Consider the following 20,943-nt stretch of genomic DNA (forward strand, 5'->3'; position numbering starts at 1 on the left):
CTGTCCACCCTCATGTCCTATAGAGACCCCCTCACTGTCCACCCTCATGGCCTGTAGAGACCCCCTCACTGTCCACCCTCATGGCCTGTAGAGACCCCCTCACTGTCCACCCTCATGGCCTGTAGAGACCCCCTCACTGTCCACCCTCATGGCCTGTAGAGACCCCCTCACTGTCCACCCATATGGCCTGTAGAGACCCCCTCACTGTCCACCCTCAGGACCCTCTGCATTTGCTCCTTGGGTTCCCGGAACTTGAGCTTGGGTCTTGGTCCACAGCAGCTTTGGGAAGGGCCCTCGGCTGCTTTTTGCTTCAGCAGCTGGGGAGCAGTTAACTTTCAGACCCGGCCCTCCCCCAAGGCAGCTCAGGGAGGGGCTGGACACTCGGTTATTTATGTATTTACTTATTTTTAAATCAAAGCACAGCAAACATGACCATGTGGGGGTGGCCCAGTGGACCCTCACAGTGAGCCCTGGGCCACACAGAACATGGCCCTGGAGCACCCCTATGAGGTTTTAACAGGGTTTTGGGGGACCTTGGTGCTTCCTAAAGTTTCGGGATGAGTCCCCGGGGTCTCCAGACTGCGTCTGCCTCCTCGTGCACCAGAGGGTGGCAGTAACTGTTCATGTTTGCCCCATCCAGGGGTTTTTACCAGGGGTACCTCATCCTTTCTGGGGAGTGGGGAGAGCACCTGAGGGGGTCGGCCTGGAACAGGAGGTTGCAGCCCATTGCCTGAGTCTTAAAGTGTGCCCTTCCCCACAGCACTTCAGGATCACTCTGGGACCATCCTAGGATTAGGAATTTTAAAACGTTTAAAAAAAATTATTTTCCTTTTTTTGGGGGAAATTGGTTATACATCCAGATGATTCAAAAAGTAAAAGTTTAAAAATAAATAATAGTTTAAAAAATGCGCAAAACAAAAAAACTGCATACAGTGAAAAGGAAGCATTTCTTTTTTTAAAAAATTTTATTATTATTATACTTTAAGTTCTAGGGTACATGTGCACAACATGCAGGTTTGTTACATATGTATACATGTGCCGTGTTGGTGTGCTGCACCCATTAACTCATCATTTAGCATTAGGTGTATCTCCTAATGCTATCCCTCCCCTCTCCCCGCACCCCACAAAAGTCCCCGGTGTGTGATGTTCCCCTTGAAAAGGAGGCGTTTCTGCTTCTCCTCTTTCCGGTCCTTGACAGTGATTCCGTGCATCACAAACACACACGCTCCCTCAGTTACACGAATCACAAACACACGCTCCCTCAGTTTTGTGCATCACAAACGCACACGCTCCCTCAGTTTTGTGCGTCACACACACGCTCCCTCAGTTTTGTGCGCCACAAACACGCGCACTCCCTCAGTTATGTGCGTCACAAACACAGACGCTCCCTCAGTTTTGCGCATCACAAACACACACGCTCCCTCAGTTATGGACATCACAAACACACACGCTCCCTCAGTTTTGTGCTTCACAAACACACACGCTCCCTCAGTTATGGACATCACAAACACACACGCTCCCTCAGTTTTGTGCTTCACAAACACACACGCTCCCTCAGTTATGGACATCACAAACACACACGCTCCCTCAGTTTTGTGCTTCACAAACACACACGCTCCCTCAGTTATGGACATCACAAACACACACGCTCCCTCAGTTTTGTGCTTCACAAACACACACGCTCCCTCAGTTATGGACATCACAAACACACACGCTCCCTCAGTTTTGTGCTTCACAAACACACACGCTCCCTCAGTTATGGACATCACAAACACACACGCTCCCTCAGTTTTGTGCGTCACAAACACAGACGCTCCCTCAGTTTTGCGCATCACACACACGCTCCCTCAGTTTTGTGTGTCACAAACACACACGCTCCTTCAGTTTTGTGCTTCACAAACACACACGCTCCCTCAGTTTTGTGCATCACACACACATTCCCTCAGTTTTGTGCGCCACAAACACGCGCGCTCCCTCAGTTTTGTGCATCACAAACGCACATGCTCCCTCAGTTTTGGGCATCACAAACACATTCCCTCAGTTTTGTGCATCACAAACGCACACGCTCCCTCAGTTTTGTGCGTCACAAACACACACGCTACCTCAGTTTTGTGTGTTACAAACACACACGCTCCCTCAGTTTCGTGCATCCCAAACATGCTCCCTCAGTTATGTGCGTCACAAACACGCTCCCTCAGTTTTGTGTGTCACAAACACACACGCTCCCTCAGTTTTGTGCATCACAAACACACACATTCCCTCAGTTTTGTGCGTCACAAACACGCGTGCTCTCTCAGTTATGTGCGTCACAAACACAGACGCTCCCTCAGTTTTGCGCATCACACACACGCTCCCTCAGCTTTGTGCTTCACAAACACACACGCTCCCTCAGTTTTGTGTGTTACAAACACACACGCTCCCTCAGTTTCGTGCATCCCAAAGACGATTCCTCAGTTTTGTGCATCACAAACACATATGCTCCCTCAGTTTTGTGCGTCACAAACGCGCGCTCCCTCAGTTATGTGCGTCACAAACACAGACGCTCCCTCAGTTTTGCGCATCACACACACGCTCCCTCAGTTTTGTGTGTCACAAACACACACGCTCCCTCAGTTTTGCGCATCACAAACACACACGCTCCCTCAGTTGTCAGGGGACTTTGCACTGTGCCTTTGCATGAAACACCATGGCTTGAAGAGGTCCCGCATCGTTAGGGCCCCCTTGCCCATGGTGTGGCGTCCCCTGACCGATTTAGCCGTTATTGAGGGACATCGAGGTTGCTTGGTGTGGCGGCCCCTGACCGATTTAGCCGTTATTGAGAGACAGCCAGGTTGCTTTCAACGTTTTCTTTTTCACAGACAGTGGTGCCAAAGGCGTCCTTGGACATGAGTCGTCTCCCAGTGGGTGAGCACATCTTAGGGCAGATTTCTGAAGGAAGATGTGCCAGGCAGAGGGGGTCTGAAGTTTTAACTTTGAAGGGCGTATTGTCACACTGCCCTCCACAGAGCTTGTACCACGGAGGTGGTGGCAGTGTCTTGCTGCCCATGCCTTCCTAATGTGTGTGTTGTGAAGTCTCTCGTTCTTTCTTTTTAAAAATTTATTATCTTTAATTTTTTAAAATGTAGAGACAGGGCCTCACTATGTTGCTCAGGCTGGTCTCGAACTCTTGGGCTCTAATTTTTGTATTTTTAGTAGAGACAAGGTTTTGCCATATTGGCCAGGGTGGTCTCGAACTCCTGACCTCAAGTGATCCGCCTGGCTCGGCCTCCCAGAATACTGGGATTACAGGCCCTTGACCCATTTTTCTTATTGTGTTGTTGGATTTTGTCTTATTGATTTGTACGGGGCGTTTACATATTAAGGAACTTACACCTACATACTTGCAGATATTTTTTTCATTTTTTTCTTAAAAAATTTTCTTTTGAGAGACAGAGGTCTCACTGTGTTGCCCAGGCTGGTCTCAAACTCCTGAGCTCAAGGGATCCTCCCATCTCAGCCTCTCAAGCAGCTGGGTCCACAGGTATGTGGCACCACCTCCCCTGGTTTGTTATTTGACTTTTGTCTTTGCTTAAGGAGTTTTGCCATAGAGAATTTTCTTTTTATTACATGAGGTAATTAATCTTTTTCATAATATCCCCCTTCCCCCATGCTTTCTTCTAGTACTATTTAAATTAAAAACTTTTAAATCTTTTTAAATCTATCCAGGCTTTATTTTGGTATAAGAGCCAAGGTCGTGATTGATTGGTGTCAGTTAGCATCCATGGAGGAGACAGATGTCACCCTCAACTTGGGAAATTTGAGGAGAGATGAATAAAGGGACTAAGATGTGGTTGGCATGTAGAGAAACCACTAAGGCTAATGCTGGGTGGGACCCCTCAGGCCTCGGAGGACACAGGGAGGCTGCAAGGGAGGTGGTCCTGCAGGAGCAGAGACCTGGGTGTGGGGAGACTCGAGTGCAGGACCCTACAGGGAGGGCTGGGGAAGCAAACACCCACTCCCAGTTGGCTCCCTGCAGGCCAGTCCCACCCAGCAGCCCGGAGTCAGGCAGCCGCAGGTGGCCCTGCAGGTCACAGAGGTGGAAAGTGGGGTGGGCCAGATGCTGGACAGGTGCAGCACAGGACGCTGGGATGAGCTTTGCCAGATGTGGCTCCATTACTGAACCAACAACAACCGACTTGGGGGATGGGCACTTCCAGAAGCTCCCCAGGGCACCTGGACTCAGCCCCCAGGGGTGCAGTGTGCGGTTGGGTGTTGGAGGCCTCAGGTCTGGGCCTAGTGGAGGCCAAAGGGTAGGGCCAGTGTGGAATGAGCTGACCACAAGCTGTTCTAGACAAGGCTGTAATCTGCCTTTGTGACCCCAGGGCTGTCCATGGGGAGCTCTATGGACCTCTCAATGTCAGCGTTTTGGGGTAAGGGTGGGGGTCAGGTGATGCTGGGATAGATGGGGCAGGGTCTGTGGGGGTGGGGAGGGCCGGGGAGGCTGTTGTCATTCATTCATCCAGTGCACACGGGTGAAGCCCTGCTCTAGCCACGCCCTGGAACAAGGCCATGAGGAATCAGACACTAGCGGTTACTTTTAACGAGCACCTACTGTATGCAGGTTCCTTGTGTTGACCTTCAGGAGCTCATTTACTACTCACAACAACCCTGCCGTCTAAGTGAGGAGACTGAGTTTCAGAAAGGTTAAGTAACCTGCCCGTGGTCACACCGAGCTGGGATTCGAACGCGGGACTGGCTGACTCCAGGCCTCAAGCTGTGTTCTGCTAAGCTGTGCTGCTGCCTCTGGGAAGTCTCACAGAGATGAAGGCCAGCCTGTCTCCACTTTTGGGGAATTCACCCTCCATTGGGTGGGCAGAGGCCTCATTATCAAATAAGGACAGCGGAGAGATTCGTGCTGAGCCACATGCGCTGTCCTGCACTCACCCATTCTTGCGGCACGGGAACTGAGCACGTATGTTGAGCTCCTGCCAAAAAGTTATGATGCTTCTTTTTTTTTTTTTTCTTTTTGAGACGCATTCTTGCTCTGTTGCCCAGGCTGGAGTGCAGTGGTGCAGTCTCGGCTTACTGCAAACTCTGCCTCCCGGGTTCACGCCATTATCCTGCCTCAGCCTCCCGAGTAGCTGGGACTACAGGCACCTGCCATCATGCCTGGCTAATTTTTTTTTGTATTTTTAGGAGAGACAGTGTTTCACCATGTTAGCCAGGATGGTTTTGATCTCCTGACCTCGTGATCGGCCCGCCTCGGCCTCCCAAAATGCTGGGATTACAGGCATGAGCCACCGTGCCCAGCCAAGTTATGATGCTTCTTGACATAAAATCTTTAAGCATTAAAACAATATTAAATCATAAAATCAGTATAAGAAAGTCTAAAACATTGCAGATTTTCCTGAGGTCAACTTAAACACTTAAAAAAAAAAGCCAAATTCTTAAAACAATTGTTTTTGGTGTCCTGCTTTGATGGTTCCCTAAACACTTGCTCTGACTATTAGAAATTCTGTACCTGGGTAGCTGGGGCCCCCGTGGAGAGGGAGCAGCTCGCCCAGTGAGAGAGGCTTGGCCATTGTCCTGCAGGGACTCTGCTGTTGGGGGAGCGGGCAGGGCATGTGCAGTGTGGGGTGTGGCATTCAGAGGGAGTGGCCTCCACAGCCCTGTGGCTGGGGTAGGGAGCCCAGGGGGGCCATCCATGTTTCTCTTGAGGTACCTGGCAGAAGGCGGGTGGGGGGGGTGCGGGGGGTGGTCCTTGACAGCAGAGCAGAGAGAGATGGTGGTCAGAGGCCCAGGCGGGCTCCGATTAGGCCCAGGCCAGGGTCCGGGATCCATAGGAACCCCTCGACCACCAACAGGGCCTTGAGCACCCTGGCCAGGGCGGAGGTAGTCCAGGACAGAGGACAGTTTTGCCAGTGGTGAGTGGAATTTGGGTTAGGGGTAGGGTTAGGGTTAAGTTCAGGCGCTTGGGAACAGACAGTGACCAGGAAGCCTCCGGCAGCTGTGGGCCCCAGGGCTGACCTGCTGCTCGTCCTGCTGCTCGTCCTGCCCCGTGCTCCACCGTCCTGGTTTGCCCAGGTGAAGGGGTTTCCAGGACTCTCCGTTTTAAAACCAGCACAATCTGGGCCAACTGGGACACACTGGTCACCTTGCTAATGTGTCCCTGTTCCTGAGGGGGAAAGCGGATAGGCAGTTGTCCCCCAGGGCCCAGGGAAAGAAGCCAAGGCAAGGTGCAGACAGATTTCCCTGCCCCAGACTAAGGGAGCTGTGGACAGAGGCCTTTGCTGGGAGGTGCTGGGTCCTTTCCTCCAGGCAGCGCTGGGATTTGGGCCCCGAGACCTCGTGTTTCTCTGACCCAGGGAAGAAGCCTCTGTCCACTCTGGGCCTTGCCCTTCTTTTGTTTTCCTTGGTGGAGGGAGGGAGAGGAGGTCGCCAGCACTGTTTGCCCGAGTGAGGCTCATTTCTCCTTTGTCTGCACAAGGCTGGACTGCCCTGCATTTTCATGGTAAGTTTGTTTCTTCAAGCCGTTGTTAAAATCCTGGAGGCAGAGAAAATGCATTTGCTCCATCACCTTCCCTGAGGTGACAAGTCCTATAAAACCTGTTAAAGCCTTTAATGAAATCCCTGCTCAGAGCTGCTCTGTGAATGAATGTGGAATCAGAATTTAAATTAAAATGTTGCTCTTGTTGTCTGGAGGCTTTGCCTGGGAAGAAATGAAAGGGGCAGCTCACCTTTCTGCCACCGTTCTCAGGCCGGGTGGGCGCCATGACTAGCCACCCTCTGACCCAGGGCTGGGGGCCCACCTGTGACTCACGGGCTGGGTCAAGATGCTAGCTGGATTTCAAGGCAGTGGCTCTCCCCACACCTGAGACTGTCCCTGCTGCAGGCCCCACAGAAAATCCCACTGAGGGGGAAGGTGGGTGTGCCTGTGGACCAGGTAGCCACTTGGGACTGGAGGTTTTATGTACTCAGAAGCAGAGTCAGTCCCTGAGCTCACAGGCTGATAGCAGGGGTGTGGGCAGACAGCCGCCCTGGAAGAGGAAAGAAGAAAGTGAGAGCGACTAAGGGGCTCTGGGGTGTGTGAGTGGGTTGGTGCAAGGTGGAAAGGAGGCAGGGAATGTCTTCCCAAATGAAGGGAGCAGGTGGGAGGCCAAGGCAACGGGCATGAGGCCTGGAGGCCTCGTGGCTTGGCTGGGGGCAGTACCAGCCCCGCTCCTACCTGTTCAGCCTCCCCGCTGCAGCTCTTCCCTCTTTCCTTCACGGAGTCCTGCTCTTTGGACTTAACACACTCAGGAGTCTGTTGTTAAAAAACAAACCAAAGGCTCTCTTAGCCTCGACCCCATCACAGCCAAGTTCTGGAGAGCTCTCTGCTCCATCTCCTCTTGTCTCCCCCTCCTCCTCCCTCTCCACTTCTGCGTGTCCCGGAGAGACAGAGACCCCCAGGCACCCTTGGCTGGTGGGAGAGACAGCACAAACATGAACGGCTCACGGGCCGCACATAGTTGCCTTCACTGCGGGGCGAGACACAGCTGTGTGGAACCGGCCCAGGCCCTGAGAGGTGCTTTCCTCTCCTGTTTTCCAAGTTGGCAGCGCTACCCTATTTCTTCTATGATGAAAAGGAACTCTAAAAGCATTCAAAACATTTAAAAAGTGTGTGTAAGAAGTGTTTTCATCCCTGCATAGATTACCTCCAGTGAAAAATCAGCTATGCCCCCCCCGCCACTTAAAGTGCTGTGAAGCTGTTGCAGGGAGGGCCCCGGGTCCCAGGAGGAGGCCAGGGGACCCTCGGGGAGGGCAGGGAAGGTGCTGCAGGGAGGGCCCCGGGTCCCAGGAGGAGGCCAGGGGACCCTCGGGGAGGGCAGGGAAGGTGCTGCAGGTGGAGAGACTTCGGGACACGTGGCTCTGGGAGCAGGTGCAAAGGGTTATAGCTGAAGGAAGGAGAGGAGCCATAGCTGATTATTCATTGACGGTAATGCTACACAGGGATTAAAATCAGTCAACTTGAATAAACCTTAAGAATAAGGCTGAGGCGGGGCGCGGTGGCTCACGCCTGTAATCCCAGCACTTTGGGAGGCGGAGGCGGGCCGATCACAAGGTCAGGAGATGGAGACCATCCTGGCTAACATGGTGAAACCCCCGTCTCTACTAAAAATGCAAAAAAATTAGCTGGGCGTGATGGCGGGTGTCTGTAGTCCCAGCTACTCGCGAGGCTGAGGCAGGAGAATGGCGTGAACCTGGCAGGCGGAGCTTGCCGTGAGCCGAGATCGTGCCACTGCACTCCAGCCTGGGTGACAGTGAGACTTCGTCTCAAAAAAAAAAAAAAAAGAATAAGGCTGAAGCTGGTAGGGCGCAGGGTGCGTGCCTAGATTTAGTCCCAGCTACTTGGGAGGCTGAGGCGGGAGGATTGCTTAAGTCTGGGAGGTTGAGGCTGCAGTGAGCTATGACTGTGTCACTGCACTCCAGCCTGGGTGACAGAGCGAGACTCCATCTCTTTAAAAAAAGTTGAGCTATAAAAACAAGTTGTAAAGGGTTTTGTTCTGTATGATCACATCAATGTAAACTGAAAAAAATAGTATGTGTTGTTATTGGATGTGTATGTAGATACAAAAACTGTGAAAACATGCAGGGAGATGATACAAACCAATTTCAGAGATGCCCCCGCTGGGGAGGAGGGCACAGGACAAGCATTCTTCATTGTCTGTCTGACAGTGTGTTTTGAATGCGTGTTTGAATATTTTCATGCTTAAAAAGTAAACAACAAAAGATGATGGGAGATAGGATGAGGAGGCAGCGTGCTGAAAAGGGTCCATTTCTAGGTGGCGAAGAGAGTGAGTTGGGGCAGTGGGCTGGGCAGAGGGAGGGCTTCGAGGATTCCAGGAAGAATTCTGTAGGAAAAGGAGCCAGGCAGAAGGGTGGGAGAGCCACAGGGGCTGGAAGCGGGGTGGTACTTCCAGGAACCTGAAGCCCAGGTGAGGACAGGTGCTTGTGCCATGCCACCGTGGGGGTGAGAACTTGGGCAGAAGAGGCCGTGTGTGCCGAGGGAGGGGTCGGGAGAGGGATGAAGATCTGAATTGAATGGATGCTGAGAGGAAGCTTAGTCATGCATCGCCAAAGACGGCTCATGGAGTAAATAGAGCACTAAAGGCTGGCTCACTCGCGGAGAGCTGTTTCCTGTGGCTCAACAAGTTTATAATAAACACAGTTAAACTTTTATTTATGGCACAGCTGCTAATTGCACCATAAACACTTTTCATCAGGCAATTGCTGTTTACTCATTTGCCAATCAGCTCATTATCCAGCTACCTCTCCTTGTTCCTGCCTTCCCACTTCCCAAATCCTACTGCTTCTAGGGCGTCCCTCTGCAACTGTACCCCCACCCAACTGCCTGGCCTGACTCCTGGCAGGTAGGCCCCCTCTCCAGTCCGCCCAGGCTTTGGTAGGTGTGCCTGCCCAGGCTAGGCTCTGTTCTGCTGCTGACCATGGCCAGCCCCGACTGTCCAGCATCCTAGTGTTTGAGGCCCTGAACAATGCCCCTGCTGGGCTCTCCTGACCACTCTTTTCTCTGGCTCCCAAACCTCACGGCCCCTGGGGATCCTCGCCTCCCTCTTTTCCTGCGTTTATCCCAGCCCCACTCAGCATGCCCAGAGGTCTCCCCACCCATCTCTCTCCTAGACCAGGGGTTACATAAAACTTAAGCCAGTGTTCCTGAGGGTCCTTCCTTTCCTTAAGAGGGAGCGTGTTCCGAATACTCAACTCCTGCCGCTTGTTTGCTGGGTTCAGTGTGGCCCCTCGCTCACCATTACCTCGCAGAGCACTGAGACAGAGCTTACACTTACTCATACCTTGGTTCATTGGTTCACCCGACCATGGCCACCTCCACACAGGTCATGGTGTGAGTCGCCTCCCCCCATGTTCCCTCTGCAGAGCTGGCTCCAGGATGAGCCTGAGCTGGGAGATCCTCTGGATGGAAGGAAGTTCCACCCTGTATCCAGTTACTGTGACACCTGCCCCCCTATGAGCTAACAGGCCCCCAGGTGGGTGGGGACCAGAGTCTTAGGGTGTGTGCTCTGTGTGCTCTGCAGCACCCACTTTGCAGACATCAGCGTTAGCGGACATGTGTGTGAGTGAGAATGCTCATGTGAGTGCATGCATGTTTAGGTGAGTGGGCATGTACATCTACGTGTGAATGGTGTCTGCATGTACACACATGCACAAAAGTATGTATGTGTAAACGTGTGCATATGTGAATGACATGTATATGCTCATGCAGATACGCTAATGTGTATGTACATGCGTGCATGTGTGTATGTGTAAGTGGTATATGCATGTGTGTACATGTAGGTTTTTGTGAATATACAAGTGTATATGTGCACATAAGCAGTGTGTATGTGTGCATGTGTTTGCACATGTGAGGGGTGTGCATATATATATGCATGTATATGCATGTGGGCAGTGTGTTCACATGTGTATATGTGCATGTGTGCATGTGTGTGCACATGTGAGGGGTGCGTGTATATATGCATGTATATGCATGTGGGCAGTGTGTTCACATGTGTATATGTGCATGCGTGTGCACATGCGAGGGGTGCATGTATATATGTGCATGTACTCACGTGTGTATATGCATGTGGGCAGTGTGTTCACATGTGCATATGTGCATGTGTGTGCACATGTGAGGGGTACATGTATATATGTGCACATGCATGTGTGCATACAGCTATGCACATTGTGTGTACATGCACATTGTGTGTACATGTGTATATTTCAGGATGTGCATATGTGTAAAAGTTGTGTACATGTAAGTAATGCATGTGTGTGTGCATGTGTTCAAGTGATTTGTGTGTGCATATGCTACACATGTGTGCTTTCATGAACATATGTGTGTGAGTGGTGAGATTAAGTGTATGTGCACAGAGGCCTCAGACTGAGTCTGATGGGGGTCCCTGCTAGCTCTGGAGAGAATGTGGTAGCAGGGCTGAGGCCCTTGTCTTCAGCTGAATGAGTCTGCCTGGCGTGCGCTCAGTGCTCTCCCGCTCTCCTGCTTCTCTTCTGAGGTCAGTCACAGACCTGGACATCCGGCTTGTGGGGAGTATTGAGTTGCAGTGGCTGTGTGTGCTTTTGTATGTGAACACATGTGCTCATGTGTTGCATGTGTGTGGTGTGCACTGTGTCTGGATGTGATCATAGGCAGCATTTTGGGGTATTTTTGGGTGTCAGGGTACTCACTGGGGGCATTGAAGATGCAGTGGCAAAGCAGGTGTCCAGGAGTCTGAGCTCAGACTTGACTTTCTGCCTGGGTCAGCCTAGATTTTCTACATGGAAGTGAGGTGAAAGGGAGAGGAATATTTGGGAGCCCTTCTCTGTCCCTTAGGTCCCTAGGAGCCCAAGGATGGTGAGAGGGCCCAGCCCTTGGTTTTTGATCTATTTGAGAGGAACCGAGTAATCTTCTGGGGTCTGCTCTTGGCTTCTTCAGTACAGTGAAATTAGCTGAGCAGTTCCTCTGGGCAGAGCCTCTGCTAACATTCCTTTGAAGCCTCCCTCCATGCTGGGAATCCAGCAATGTCCAGTGATAAGCTTGGGAGGAGGACATACTTGCAGTGGAAGAGACACCATGCCTGTCCCACCAGCCCCTTCACTTTTGGGGTCAAGCATTATTAGAGCCCTGCCAATGGATTGTGTGTGTCGTGACAGATGTCAGCTGGGAGGAAAAGACACTGGGCCCCTCCTGCACAGGGGCCTTATTTCTAGAGAAAGGGAAGACTGAGGTGCAACGTGGGCCTGTGGTTAGGGAGACTGCATTCTGAACACCGTGGGAAGAATGCTAGAAGCTCTCAGCCTCTGCCTTCCTCTGCCATGCTCGAGCTGGTCAGTCATGGTCCCCGAGGCCCTACAGCAGCCTGCAGGGATCAGGGCAGCAAAGGTGCTGCAAAACCAGCAAGACCAACAGGACTGTACAAGACCGGTGTTCCACGGCGACACCTTGTGGTTGCAATGGCAGCAGCACTGCCTGTGGAAGGACAAGGCTCTCCTGCAGCTCCTCCCTACCAGGCTTTGGACTAAGCCTCCAGCATTTTTGGACAGTTGGCATGCATGTTGGAGGAGAGTACTTGAGAAGGAAATAATGGGCTGGGTGCTAATAGAGGATTTGGAGGCTCACACACTAAATGGGGAAGGACTCATTCATACCCATTCCTTCTTCCGAAATGTCTCCTTCCATGTCCTGCCCTCGTACCCATTCCTTCTTCCGAAATGTCTCCCTCCATGTCCTGCCCAGGCCTGCTCTTTGGGTCTCCTGGCTGGTGGGGGAACAGATGTGGCGTAATCACGTCGAGATGCAGCAGGTGCACCAAGCACTGTGCGCACCGCTGTTAGCCCCAGGACCCCCAGTGTCAGCACTGGTGGGGCTGGTGTTTGTGGAGTGTGTCAGTGGACTGGCAGGCCCGTGGATTCCACGTGTGTAAGAGAGACTGACAGCCCTTCCTGTCTCAGAGCAGCCCCTCCTGGGTCCCATCCTGGGTCCCATCTTGGGGTTGGACATGCCCTTGTTTGAGCTTGGCCCCTTCTTGCTGGGCCACCAGCCCTGACCCTAAATCTGAGAGGGGGCTTGGCTGGGCCTGGGGTCAGGGGACAAACAGCCACCCTGGCTGAGGCCCTGGGCAGCTGAGGAACTTCAGCCAGCTTTGGGCAGCTCTTGGGTTGGGAGATGGGCTGCTGTTTTCTCGGACAACGCCCTCCCCAGCCCCTCAAGACTCTGTTTTCAGTCAGTTCAATTAGTACAACTTTAAAGCAATTAGGGAGAATTAGTGGCCAGGCTGCTGCAGGCAGATGCTGAATACACTCATGCCCCCTCCCCCAACCTCCCTCACCGAACCTGACAGCTGCTGCGGGGAGTGCCTTTCTCTGCTGGCTCTGTCCTTTCTCCCAGAGATCCAGCCCCCATCTCTCCTTCTCTCAAGGGTCTGAGGAGGGGAGGGTGGGCAGTCTAGGGGACAGACCCAGAGACAGGGGCCCTGGGACTGGGAGGGTGGGGCAGGCCCGGGGAAATGGGCCAACTTCCCCTCAAGACCCCAGGCCTGGGCCTGCTCTAAGGAGAGAAGGGATGGGTGCTGGTTGGAGGCTCAGCCCCTGAGTGAGGGTGAGGGTACTCAGCGCGGATTGGGAGGACTGACCAGGATTGTGGCCCAGCCTCTGGCCCTGTGGCCTCCAGGAGCCCCCAGCTCTGGTGAGGGCACCCTTTGGTGGGGCTGGGGGCTGTTCTTCAGTGGGAGGCCTCTGAGAGGCTGGGCCTCTCCCACTAGGTGTGGGGTGGCAGCGAGGCCCTGCTTCTGAGCCAGTGCTGGAGCCACACCACCTTCTCTGCCTGGTAGTGAAGGAGGTGGCCCCGTGGGTGCTGCAGACCCTGGGCCCTCCCTGGTGCCCCTTGGGCTGCTCTGTGGGGAGAGCTCCAGGTGCTTGCTTGCGTGGATGGGGCACCAGGGCAGGTGCAGGGCTGACTTCGCAGATGGAGCCCTTTGTGCGGGGACCCTGTCTTCCGGCCTTGCCCCTCCCTACTCCCCCAGCTTCTCAAAGAAGGTCTGTTTTCTGAGCCTCCTCTGTGATGCCCCCACCAGCCGCAGCCTCCCTCAGATGTGTGGGGGGTGTCCGCGGTCCTAACCAATGTCTTTTCTGCATGTGTCCACGTGTATCTGGCACTTTCTCTGAGCAGGCTCTGGGCTCAGCACCGGGTAAGGCAGATCCATGCAGCCCCTCACCTTGGCCGAACACTGAACAGATGATGACATGTACTTGTGCAATTCCAGCTTCAACAAGGGTCACCAGAACAGCTCTGAGCAATTCCAGCTTCAACAAGGGTCACCAGAATTGCTCTGTGCAATCCCAGCTTCAACAAGGGTCACCAGAACAGCTCGGAGAAGGGCTGTGACCCGGTCTGAAAGCTTCCCAGAGACTGGCTTAGCGGGATGACCCTGGGGAAGGAGATAGTGGGTGGAGCAGAGAGGCTGATTAGAGGCTGAGTCTTTATACGGAAGTGATGGTGCCCTAGAGGCACAGGAGGGAGTGAGTGCTGCCAGTGGGGCAAGGAGGGGCGGCTCCACCTGTGACCCTAACCCTAACCGCGTAGGGAACCTTCAGTGGGCCCATGATGGTGGCCCAAGCACACGAAGGTGTCTGTGCTCTGTGCCTTCGCTGAGCAGTGCAAGTCTGGGCCCAGGGGCTTCCCCTGAGGAGGGGAAGCCAAGGGTGTCCATGAAAAGAGTCAAACTCTGTAAAGTATTTGAAGAGATTTATCCTGAACCAAATACGAGTGACCATGGCCCATGACTCGGCCTCAGGAGGTCCTGGTGACATGTGCCCGAGGTGGTCGGGACACAGCCTGGTTTTATACATTTGAAGGGTGACATGAGACATCAATCAATATGTACAAGATGTACATTGGTTTGGTCTGGAAAGGCAGGACAACTCAAAGTGTGGGCTTCCAGGCCATAGGTAGATAAGACACAAACAGCTGCATTCTTTTGGGTCTTTGATCAGTGTTTCACTGAACACACAATTTACATGTGAGAGGGGGTAGAGAAATAGTCACTTATGCCTTAGGCTGACTCAGTGAATCTGCATTTTTACATAAGCAGTAGGGCAGAGGAAGCCATCAGATGTGCATTTGTCTCAGGTGGGCAGTGGGATGACTTTGATGAGTTCTGCCTGTCCATTGTCCCGCACCTGTGAAGGGAAGCTATCCATTTACGTTGCCAGGGTGAAATTCAGCAGAACAGTTTTAGGGCAAAGATCTTGAAGCCCAAGAAGAGTTTCTCTGTGGGGAAATTGTGAGGGAGGATGTAGACTTCCACACAATCCTTGTCACTATCTTATTCGGGAATAAAATGGGAGGCAGGTTGGCCTGACGTGCTTTGGCTTAGTGATTTTGGGGTCCCTAGATTTATTTTCCTTTCCCAAGTACTTATTACAAAGTAGCAGGCTTCAAACTTGGAGATCTCACAACCCCAAGTAACATTCTGTTAGAAACCATGGGACCACCCACACCGTTGCTGTGGACTACAAGCTCGTGTCACTGGCAGCTCAAAGTAGAAAGTATCAGACACCCCCCACCTCGGGGGACCTCTGTTTCAGATCTCAGGTGACTCTTCACCTTGAAGACATTCAGCTTAATCAAAACCTCTTTTCTGACCCTTTGTGCCAGCCTTCCTGGAGGGGGCTCCCCAAAGAAGGGTCTACTTCTTGTCCCCTACCTCCCCACATCCGCTAAGGGCTTCTACACAAACACAGGATGAAATGAGAGGAAGGTGGCCACCGGAACGGTGCTTAATGGCCAGGATGTTCTCTCCCTGATGTGTGCTGTTCCCATTACAGGTATTCACTTCTTGATGAAGCAATTTCCTATATAATGGCCCCACATGGCAGGCTAAATGTGGAAAACCACCAAATAGAGGCAGAAATATAAAGACACTTTGGATCATCATTTGCAGAAGGCAAAATAGCTGCAGGCAGCTTGTGGTTGAGACACTCAGTAATGGTACTGGCCAGGCACGGAAAGCATCCACAGACACAGCTCACAGGTGCAGCGTGGAGAATTCCAACCAGCCAAGGGGCCCAGGCAGGCCTCCGAGGAAGGACGCTTGACCTGAGACTTCCCCCTTATCATGGTCAAAGTGAGGGTGTCCCTGCTGGAGCCCCTGCAAAGGCCCGAGGGAGCCGGGACCTTAGAGTCTGGGGACTGCATACAGCCCACTTTGAGGAAGCCTTCTTGGTTTGAGGAGGGGGTTGAAGGGCAGCATCATGGACCCTGGGTTGAGAAGGAGGTGGAGACCAGCGGGGTGAGGGGCTCCACCTTGACTCAACTCCCTAGATGGCAACTGATGGGGGCTGGTCTAGAGGGCTCTCTCCTAGGTGAGGGGCTAGACCTGAAGCTCTTGTGCTTCCTCAGCCCTAGTCCCCTTCATGGGGACAGGAATGGTGTGTGATGGTGCATTCATAGATGTGCATGCACACATACAGGCATGTACATTTGTACACAGACATGCACACAGAAATGTGCATGCATAGGCCCACACAGCAGACAGGCACATGCACACAGGTGTGTACACAGAGATGCACACACACGTACACACAGATGTGTACGCAGAGAGGCACGCACATTCACACACAGATGTGTACACAGAGAGGCACACGCACATACACACACAGATGTGTACACAGAGAGGCACGCGCACATGCACACACGTGTACACAGAGAGGCACGCGCACATGCACACAGATGTGTACACAGAGAGGCACGCGCACACGTACACACAGATGTGTACACAGATGCACGCACACACGTACACACAGATGTGTACACAGAGGCACGCACACGCACACACAGATGTGTACACAGAGAGGTACGCACACGTACACACAGATGTGTACACAGAGAGGCACGCACACATGCACACACAGATGTGTACACAGAGAGGCACGCACACACACACACAGATGTGTACACAGAGGCACGCACACACGCACACAGATGTGTACACAGAGGCACGTGCACATGCACACACATGTACACAGAGAGGCACGCGCACATGCACACAGATGTGTACACAGAGATGCACACATGCACACAGAAATGGGCATGCACATGCACACAGATGTACACACATGGATGTTCACACACACACACATGCACGCAAACACAGCCCCTCTGCAGCTCTGCTGTCTGCCTCAGGTGGGGGCCATGCTGGGTGAAACTGTCATTTCTCCCTGTCTATAAGCTCCTGCCTTGAGGCTATGAAGACAAGAGGATGTGAACTGCTCTCTGGAGGCAGAAGACGTGGGTTCAAATCTTGGCTCTTCTCTGGGCCTCAGGTTTCTGGTCTGTAGACTAGGATATTGGAGTTTTACTCACGTTACTGGAGGGATGAGGGCCCTAAATCAGGAGCTGGGAACTGGTGCATGGTAAGTTGTGGGAGTGGAGGACTGTGGAGAAGGACAGGCCTTCCCTAGGTGAGGTGCTACTACTGTGGAAAGTGGTCTAGTTTCCCCTCTGCCCCTATGGGCACCCAGTGGAAGAAGCTGGTGGTCAGTGATGGGCGGACTAGTCCTGAGGTCCTAAGACTGGAGTGTCTGGATGATCAGTGTGACCTCTCAGAGAAGAGGTGCACACCTAGGGGTCTGGCTAAGGGAAGGGGAGGGTGTCAGTACAGGAACTGCAGGGACTAGGTCAGGCTGGGTACACAGAGGCAAGGACAGGGTCGTGAGGCTGGTGCTTGATGAGAAAAGCTCAGTCTAGACATCTGGGCCTAGGCCCCAAGAAGAGTGGGGATCAGGCCTTCATGGGTGGTGTTGGAGAGCCCTGAACAGGATGTGACTTGGTCTTCCCTGTGGAGAACTCAGGAGACTAGCTGGACCATTCAGGTATTTAAGGAGCAATGTCAGTGTGCCAGGAACTCTCGGGGAGCTTATATCCCAGTGGAAGAGACGGCTCACCTCTTTGAGCTTTCTGGCAAAGTCAAGGGTGCTGAGTGCTGTGTCAGGGCCATCCAAAGGTCCTGAGATGAGTGGGACTTGGAGGAGGTCAGTCAGGACCAGCCTCGTTGTGGGTGTTGAAACACAGGAGTATCTGTGTGGAGGAGGCCTGGGGGGCTCCTGGCAGGGAGCGGGGCGCAGAGGAGCACGAGGTCCTCAAGGTTCTCAGTGGTGGCATCAGGAGTGCCCAGGTCAACTTGTCCTGGGCAGAGGATGGGTTCAGAAGAGAACATCGGCTGTGTATCCTTTGTATCTTCCAGAGGTACACAGCCCTCCCCAGCCGCCCTCCAACCTCAGGACAAAGTGTGGGTGTGCGTTTGGCTCCTGCGTTCCCCTGTCTCCTTTGTCCACAGGATGCTCTTGGCTGCCAGGAGGTTCCCACTCCTCATCTTTCCAGGCCCGGGTCAGAGGCACTGAAGTCAGAAACAGAGGTGGCAATTCCAACCTAAAAGCACAAATTACAGACAAGTCTCCCTCCTGCAGGTTTCCATTTGCATCTGGCTTTTGTGTGGCACTAGAAGAGATCAGCTTTTTGCAAGCATGGGGCTGATGAACGCATTTGCACAAAGGGAGACGGCGGAGTAGCAGGAGTTTGCAAGCTGCTTCATTAACTTGGAGCCAGTGGAATGTCTGGGATCGTCTGTGATTTGGAAACCGGTGGCAGAATGTTCCCGCGTTTCTGGTCCTCATCAGTCAGGTAGGTTGAGGGGAGCCCAAGACGAGCTTGTGGCTGCAGCGAGGGTGCAGGATGGGTACACATCTCGGTGGTCCAGCTGGGTCTCAGCTACCTTGAATCTGACCCACGGGCTTTGTGTGGTCTCAGGGCTTGTGTGTGTGTGTTTGGTCCGCTGTGTACCTGGTGTGCACACATTGCCTGTCACGTGGGTCTCTGTTGGAAGCTCTTGCCCGTCGGTTCTTCATGTGGTGCTGTCGGACATCTACTGGTCTTTGAGCCTCCAAGTCTGTGTTGGCTGCTGCAGGTCGGGGCCTGGGACTTTGTGTACCAGTGACGTGGCCCCACTGAGGCCCCGTTCCTGACTCAGCCATGCTGTCATGGCCCTCAGAAAAGATCTATCATTTCTTTGATCCTGTAAAACAAGTAAATTCAGTCTTCCTGTGAGGCACGGTGATGATTCACTGGAATCATCCCAGTGTGTAAGGGTACTTCCTCCTGCCGGGACTGCCAGGCGGGACGGCTTCCTGCAGACTCAGAGGGTCCAAGGCAGGGTTTCCAAGCAGACTTTGCAGCTGGATGAGAGGAGGGGTCAGCGCACCTGCTTCATACAGAGACTGATGTGCCTGGGCCCAGGCAGGCCCGTGCTCCAAGCACCCTGTTCCTCAGGTGGGACAGCCTCATCTTCTTTTTCCTTTTTTTTTTTTTGAGATCGAATTTCACTCTGTTGCCCAGGCTTGAATGCAGTGGTGTGATCTCGGCTCACTGCAGCCTCTGCCTCCCGGGTTCAAGCAATTCTCCTGCCTCAGCCTCCCGAGTAGCTGGGACTACAGATGCACAATGCCATGTCCTAGTTTTTATATTATTAGTAGATACAGGGTTTCACCATGTTTGCCAGGATGGTCTTGAACTCCTGACCTTGTGATCCGCCCGCCTTGGCCTCCCAAAGTGCTGCGATTACAGGCGTGAGCCACCATACCCAGCCTGACAGCCCCTTCTTTAGAGCCGGTGCCTCGGGCTCCCAGGCTCGGGGTGGGGCTCACACCCCTCCTCTCATGATCTTGCTTATCCCTTGGGGTGGGGGGGGGACCTGTGTCCTCCCAACCCCAAGCACACAGCTGTCACCCCAGGTCACCTCCTCTGCCTTTCTCCCAGCACCCTGCATGCTCTGGCCTGGGCAGCCCCCTCCCCCTGTGCCCTTGGTGGCATTTGCATACAGGTGCCCTTGCAGCTGAAGTGTTGGGGCAGGGCCAGCAAACCCACGCCCGAGAGGGCCAGTGGCTCTTGGCACAGGTGGTGGGACAATGGCCACTCAGAACACGGCTGCGCTCCCCTGCCGCCTCCTTGGGGCTCACACCTTGCTCGGTTTAGTCGCTGTCTGAGCCTTAGTTCCTGGTCATAACTGGGCTGTGCGGGGCTTGGGGCCTCATATGAGGAGGAACTGATGGCCTGTGTGTGCTGGCAGAGGAGGCGGTGTCATCCCGGCGGGTCTCTGCAGATCCACTGCACAAACACTGCATGTGTGTATGTGCAGTGTGTGTGTTTATGTAGTGTGTTTGTGTGTCTGTATATATGCGTGTGATGTGTATATGGTGTGTATGTGTGTTTGTGTTGTGTGTATGTGTGTGGTGTGTTTGAGGTGTGCGTGTATTTGTGTGTCTGTGTGTGTGTGGTATGTATATGGTGTGTATGTCTGTGTGTGGTGTGTGTGTGTGTCTGTGGGTCTGTGGGGTCTGTTTGATGTATGTGGTGTGTGTATGTGTGTGTCTGTGTGTGTGTGTGGTGTGTATATTGTGTGTATGTCTGTGTGTGGTGTGTGTGTCTGTGGGTCTGTGGGGTCTGAGGTATGTGGTGTGTGTGTGTTTGTGTGTGTCTGTGTGTGTGTGTGGTGTCTATATGGTGTGTATGTCTGTGTGTGTGCCTGCATGTGTGGGGTGTGTGTGTGGGGTCTGTTGTGTGTATGTGGTATGTGTGTATGTGTGTGTGGTGTGTATATGGTGTGTATGTCTGTATGTCTGTGTGTCTGTGCATTTGTGGGGTGTGTGTAGGGTCTGTTGTGTGTGGTGGATGGAAGGGCCTCCCGGGGCTCTTGGATTTGGAGGGCCCACGCTGCTCTGGCCTGGGAAGGTGGGGTTATCTGGAGGGTATATTAGGCTGGGGTCCTGGGGAAGGTTCTGGGGCTCTAGGCAGAGCTCCTGGTCGGGTGCAGGCACATGGGCTTGTTGGGCAGTCCCAGGCCTTCCAGGCTCCATGGCCCGTGTTCCCTGTTGTTCTGGTGGGTGTGCCCTTTAGGCACCTGCCCAGGGTCCCCTGTGCCATCCCAGCTGCCCCAACACTGTGTGCCCCGGCTCTGCTCCTGGACCCCACGCCGCGTGCCCCGGCTCTGCTCCTGGACCCCACGCCGTGTGCCCTGGCTCTGCTCCTGGACCCCACGCCGCGTGCCCCGGCTCTGCTCCTGGACCTCCGCATGCCTCCTGCTCACTCCAGGGCAGAAACCTCCTGTCCTGGCTCTGCCTCCCTTTGAAGCCTAGCAGGGGACCCCTCTGGCCCTGGGTCTGTCCCTCCTGAGCTCTCATTTGAGGAAGGCACCAGTGAGGCCCTTCTTTGGCTCAGATCCAGCCTTTGGTGCCAGACGGTCCAGGGCGTCAGTCCCAGCTTTGTCTGGGAGCTGCGGGCCCTCGACCCTTCTGAGCCCACCTACAAGTTGGGAACAACATTGTGGACCCTCAGGGGACTAAAGGATGAAGCTGCCCTGTGCCCGGCAC

At 53.5% G+C, this 20,943-nt stretch overlaps 1 long non-coding RNA gene across 3 annotated transcripts, besides 17 other annotated features; it reads right to left on the reverse strand.

The window, feature by feature from the left end:
- Positions 1-8: part of a nucleotide motif, noted in NCBI's record as "nucleotide motif; similarity, but not exact identity (7/8 nucleotides) to the predicted 13-mer PRDM9 A binding motif (LD hotspot motif), CCNCCNTNNCCNC", that runs on past the window's edge. NCBI's record gives the evidence for it as "COORDINATES:motif similarity evidence [ECO:0000028][PMID:19165926]".
- Positions 1-247: part of a minisatellite, noted in NCBI's record as "B6.7 VNTR, 34 nucleotide repeat", that runs on past the window's edge.
- Positions 1-277: part of a repeat instability region, noted in NCBI's record as "repeat instability region; instability of the B7.6 VNTR region has been observed", that runs on past the window's edge. NCBI's record gives the evidence for it as "EXISTENCE:polymerase chain reaction evidence [ECO:0000082][PMID:10196378]".
- Positions 1-1,228: part of a meiotic recombination region, noted in NCBI's record as "meiotic double-strand break mapped by DNA meiotic recombinase 1 chromatin immunoprecipitation followed by single-stranded DNA enrichment and sequencing in the germ cells of some male individuals with the PRDM9 A/A, PRDM9 A/B and PRDM9 A/C genotypes", that runs on past the window's edge. NCBI's record gives the evidence for it as "EXISTENCE:chromatin immunoprecipitation-seq evidence [ECO:0000229][PMID:25395542]".
- Positions 1-3,061: part of a meiotic recombination region, noted in NCBI's record as "this region was identified as a recombination hotspot within the HapMap YRI population", that runs on past the window's edge. NCBI's record gives the evidence for it as "EXISTENCE:nucleotide sequencing assay evidence [ECO:0000219][PMID:20981099]".
- Positions 30-42: a nucleotide motif, noted in NCBI's record as "nucleotide motif; similarity, but not exact identity (7/8 nucleotides) to the predicted 13-mer PRDM9 A binding motif (LD hotspot motif), CCNCCNTNNCCNC". NCBI's record gives the evidence for it as "COORDINATES:motif similarity evidence [ECO:0000028][PMID:19165926]".
- Positions 64-76: a nucleotide motif, noted in NCBI's record as "nucleotide motif; similarity, but not exact identity (7/8 nucleotides) to the predicted 13-mer PRDM9 A binding motif (LD hotspot motif), CCNCCNTNNCCNC". NCBI's record gives the evidence for it as "COORDINATES:motif similarity evidence [ECO:0000028][PMID:19165926]".
- Positions 98-110: a nucleotide motif, noted in NCBI's record as "nucleotide motif; similarity, but not exact identity (7/8 nucleotides) to the predicted 13-mer PRDM9 A binding motif (LD hotspot motif), CCNCCNTNNCCNC". NCBI's record gives the evidence for it as "COORDINATES:motif similarity evidence [ECO:0000028][PMID:19165926]".
- Positions 132-144: a nucleotide motif, noted in NCBI's record as "nucleotide motif; similarity, but not exact identity (7/8 nucleotides) to the predicted 13-mer PRDM9 A binding motif (LD hotspot motif), CCNCCNTNNCCNC". NCBI's record gives the evidence for it as "COORDINATES:motif similarity evidence [ECO:0000028][PMID:19165926]".
- Positions 166-178: a nucleotide motif, noted in NCBI's record as "nucleotide motif; similarity, but not exact identity (7/8 nucleotides) to the predicted 13-mer PRDM9 A binding motif (LD hotspot motif), CCNCCNTNNCCNC". NCBI's record gives the evidence for it as "COORDINATES:motif similarity evidence [ECO:0000028][PMID:19165926]".
- Positions 200-212: a nucleotide motif, noted in NCBI's record as "nucleotide motif; similarity, but not exact identity (7/8 nucleotides) to the predicted 13-mer PRDM9 A binding motif (LD hotspot motif), CCNCCNTNNCCNC". NCBI's record gives the evidence for it as "COORDINATES:motif similarity evidence [ECO:0000028][PMID:19165926]".
- Positions 1,106-1,118: a nucleotide motif, noted in NCBI's record as "nucleotide motif; similarity, but not exact identity (7/8 nucleotides) to the predicted 13-mer PRDM9 A binding motif (LD hotspot motif), CCNCCNTNNCCNC". NCBI's record gives the evidence for it as "COORDINATES:motif similarity evidence [ECO:0000028][PMID:19165926]".
- Positions 3,594-4,095: an enhancer, noted in NCBI's record as "H3K4me1 hESC enhancer chr20:62768655-62769156 (GRCh37/hg19 assembly coordinates)". NCBI's record gives its function as "activates a minimal SCP1, AML or CMV promoter by ChIP-STARR-seq in naive and primed H9 embryonic stem cells {active_cell/tissue: H9 hESC(naive and primed)}" and the evidence as "EXISTENCE:reporter gene assay evidence [ECO:0000049][PMID:30033119]".
- Positions 4,096-4,595: an enhancer, noted in NCBI's record as "H3K4me1 hESC enhancer chr20:62769157-62769656 (GRCh37/hg19 assembly coordinates)". NCBI's record gives its function as "activates a minimal SCP1, AML or CMV promoter by ChIP-STARR-seq in naive and primed H9 embryonic stem cells {active_cell/tissue: H9 hESC(naive and primed)}" and the evidence as "EXISTENCE:reporter gene assay evidence [ECO:0000049][PMID:30033119]".
- Positions 6,174-9,974, reverse strand: LOC105372727 (uncharacterized). Of its 3 annotated transcripts, XR_937006.2 has the most exons (4): positions 9,828-9,974; positions 7,205-7,282; positions 6,800-7,016; positions 6,471-6,523 (listed from the first exon to the last, which is right to left on the reverse strand). It is a non-coding gene; the product is annotated as an uncharacterized LOC105372727 (long non-coding RNA). The 3 variants fall into 3 exon arrangements; XR_937008.2 differs by lacking the exon at positions 6,800-7,016 and having other exon boundaries at positions 6,174-6,523; positions 9,828-9,932; XR_937007.2 differs by lacking the exon at positions 6,800-7,016 and having other exon boundaries at positions 6,505-6,688; positions 9,828-9,932.
- Positions 6,432-7,345: an enhancer, noted in NCBI's record as "H3K4me1 hESC enhancer chr20:62771493-62772406 (GRCh37/hg19 assembly coordinates)". NCBI's record gives its function as "activates a minimal SCP1, AML or CMV promoter by ChIP-STARR-seq in primed H9 embryonic stem cells {active_cell/tissue: H9 hESC(primed)}" and the evidence as "EXISTENCE:reporter gene assay evidence [ECO:0000049][PMID:30033119]".
- Positions 17,208-17,887: an enhancer, noted in NCBI's record as "H3K4me1 hESC enhancer chr20:62782269-62782948 (GRCh37/hg19 assembly coordinates)". NCBI's record gives its function as "activates a minimal SCP1, AML or CMV promoter by ChIP-STARR-seq in primed H9 embryonic stem cells {active_cell/tissue: H9 hESC(primed)}" and the evidence as "EXISTENCE:reporter gene assay evidence [ECO:0000049][PMID:30033119]".
- Positions 17,888-19,087: an enhancer, noted in NCBI's record as "CDK7 strongly-dependent group 2 enhancer chr20:62782949-62784148 (GRCh37/hg19 assembly coordinates)". NCBI's record gives its function as "activates an origin of replication core promoter dependent on BRD2, BRD4, P300/CBP, MED14 and CDK7 cofactors, with strong dependence on CDK7, by STARR-seq in HCT116 cells {active_cell/tissue: HCT116}" and the evidence as "EXISTENCE:reporter gene assay evidence [ECO:0000049][PMID:35650434]".

The sequence above is a fragment of the Homo sapiens genome, chromosome 20, assembly GCF_000001405.40.
Source record: "Homo sapiens chromosome 20, GRCh38.p14 Primary Assembly".
In the NCBI taxonomy this organism is placed as follows: domain Eukaryota; kingdom Metazoa; phylum Chordata; class Mammalia; order Primates; family Hominidae; genus Homo; species Homo sapiens.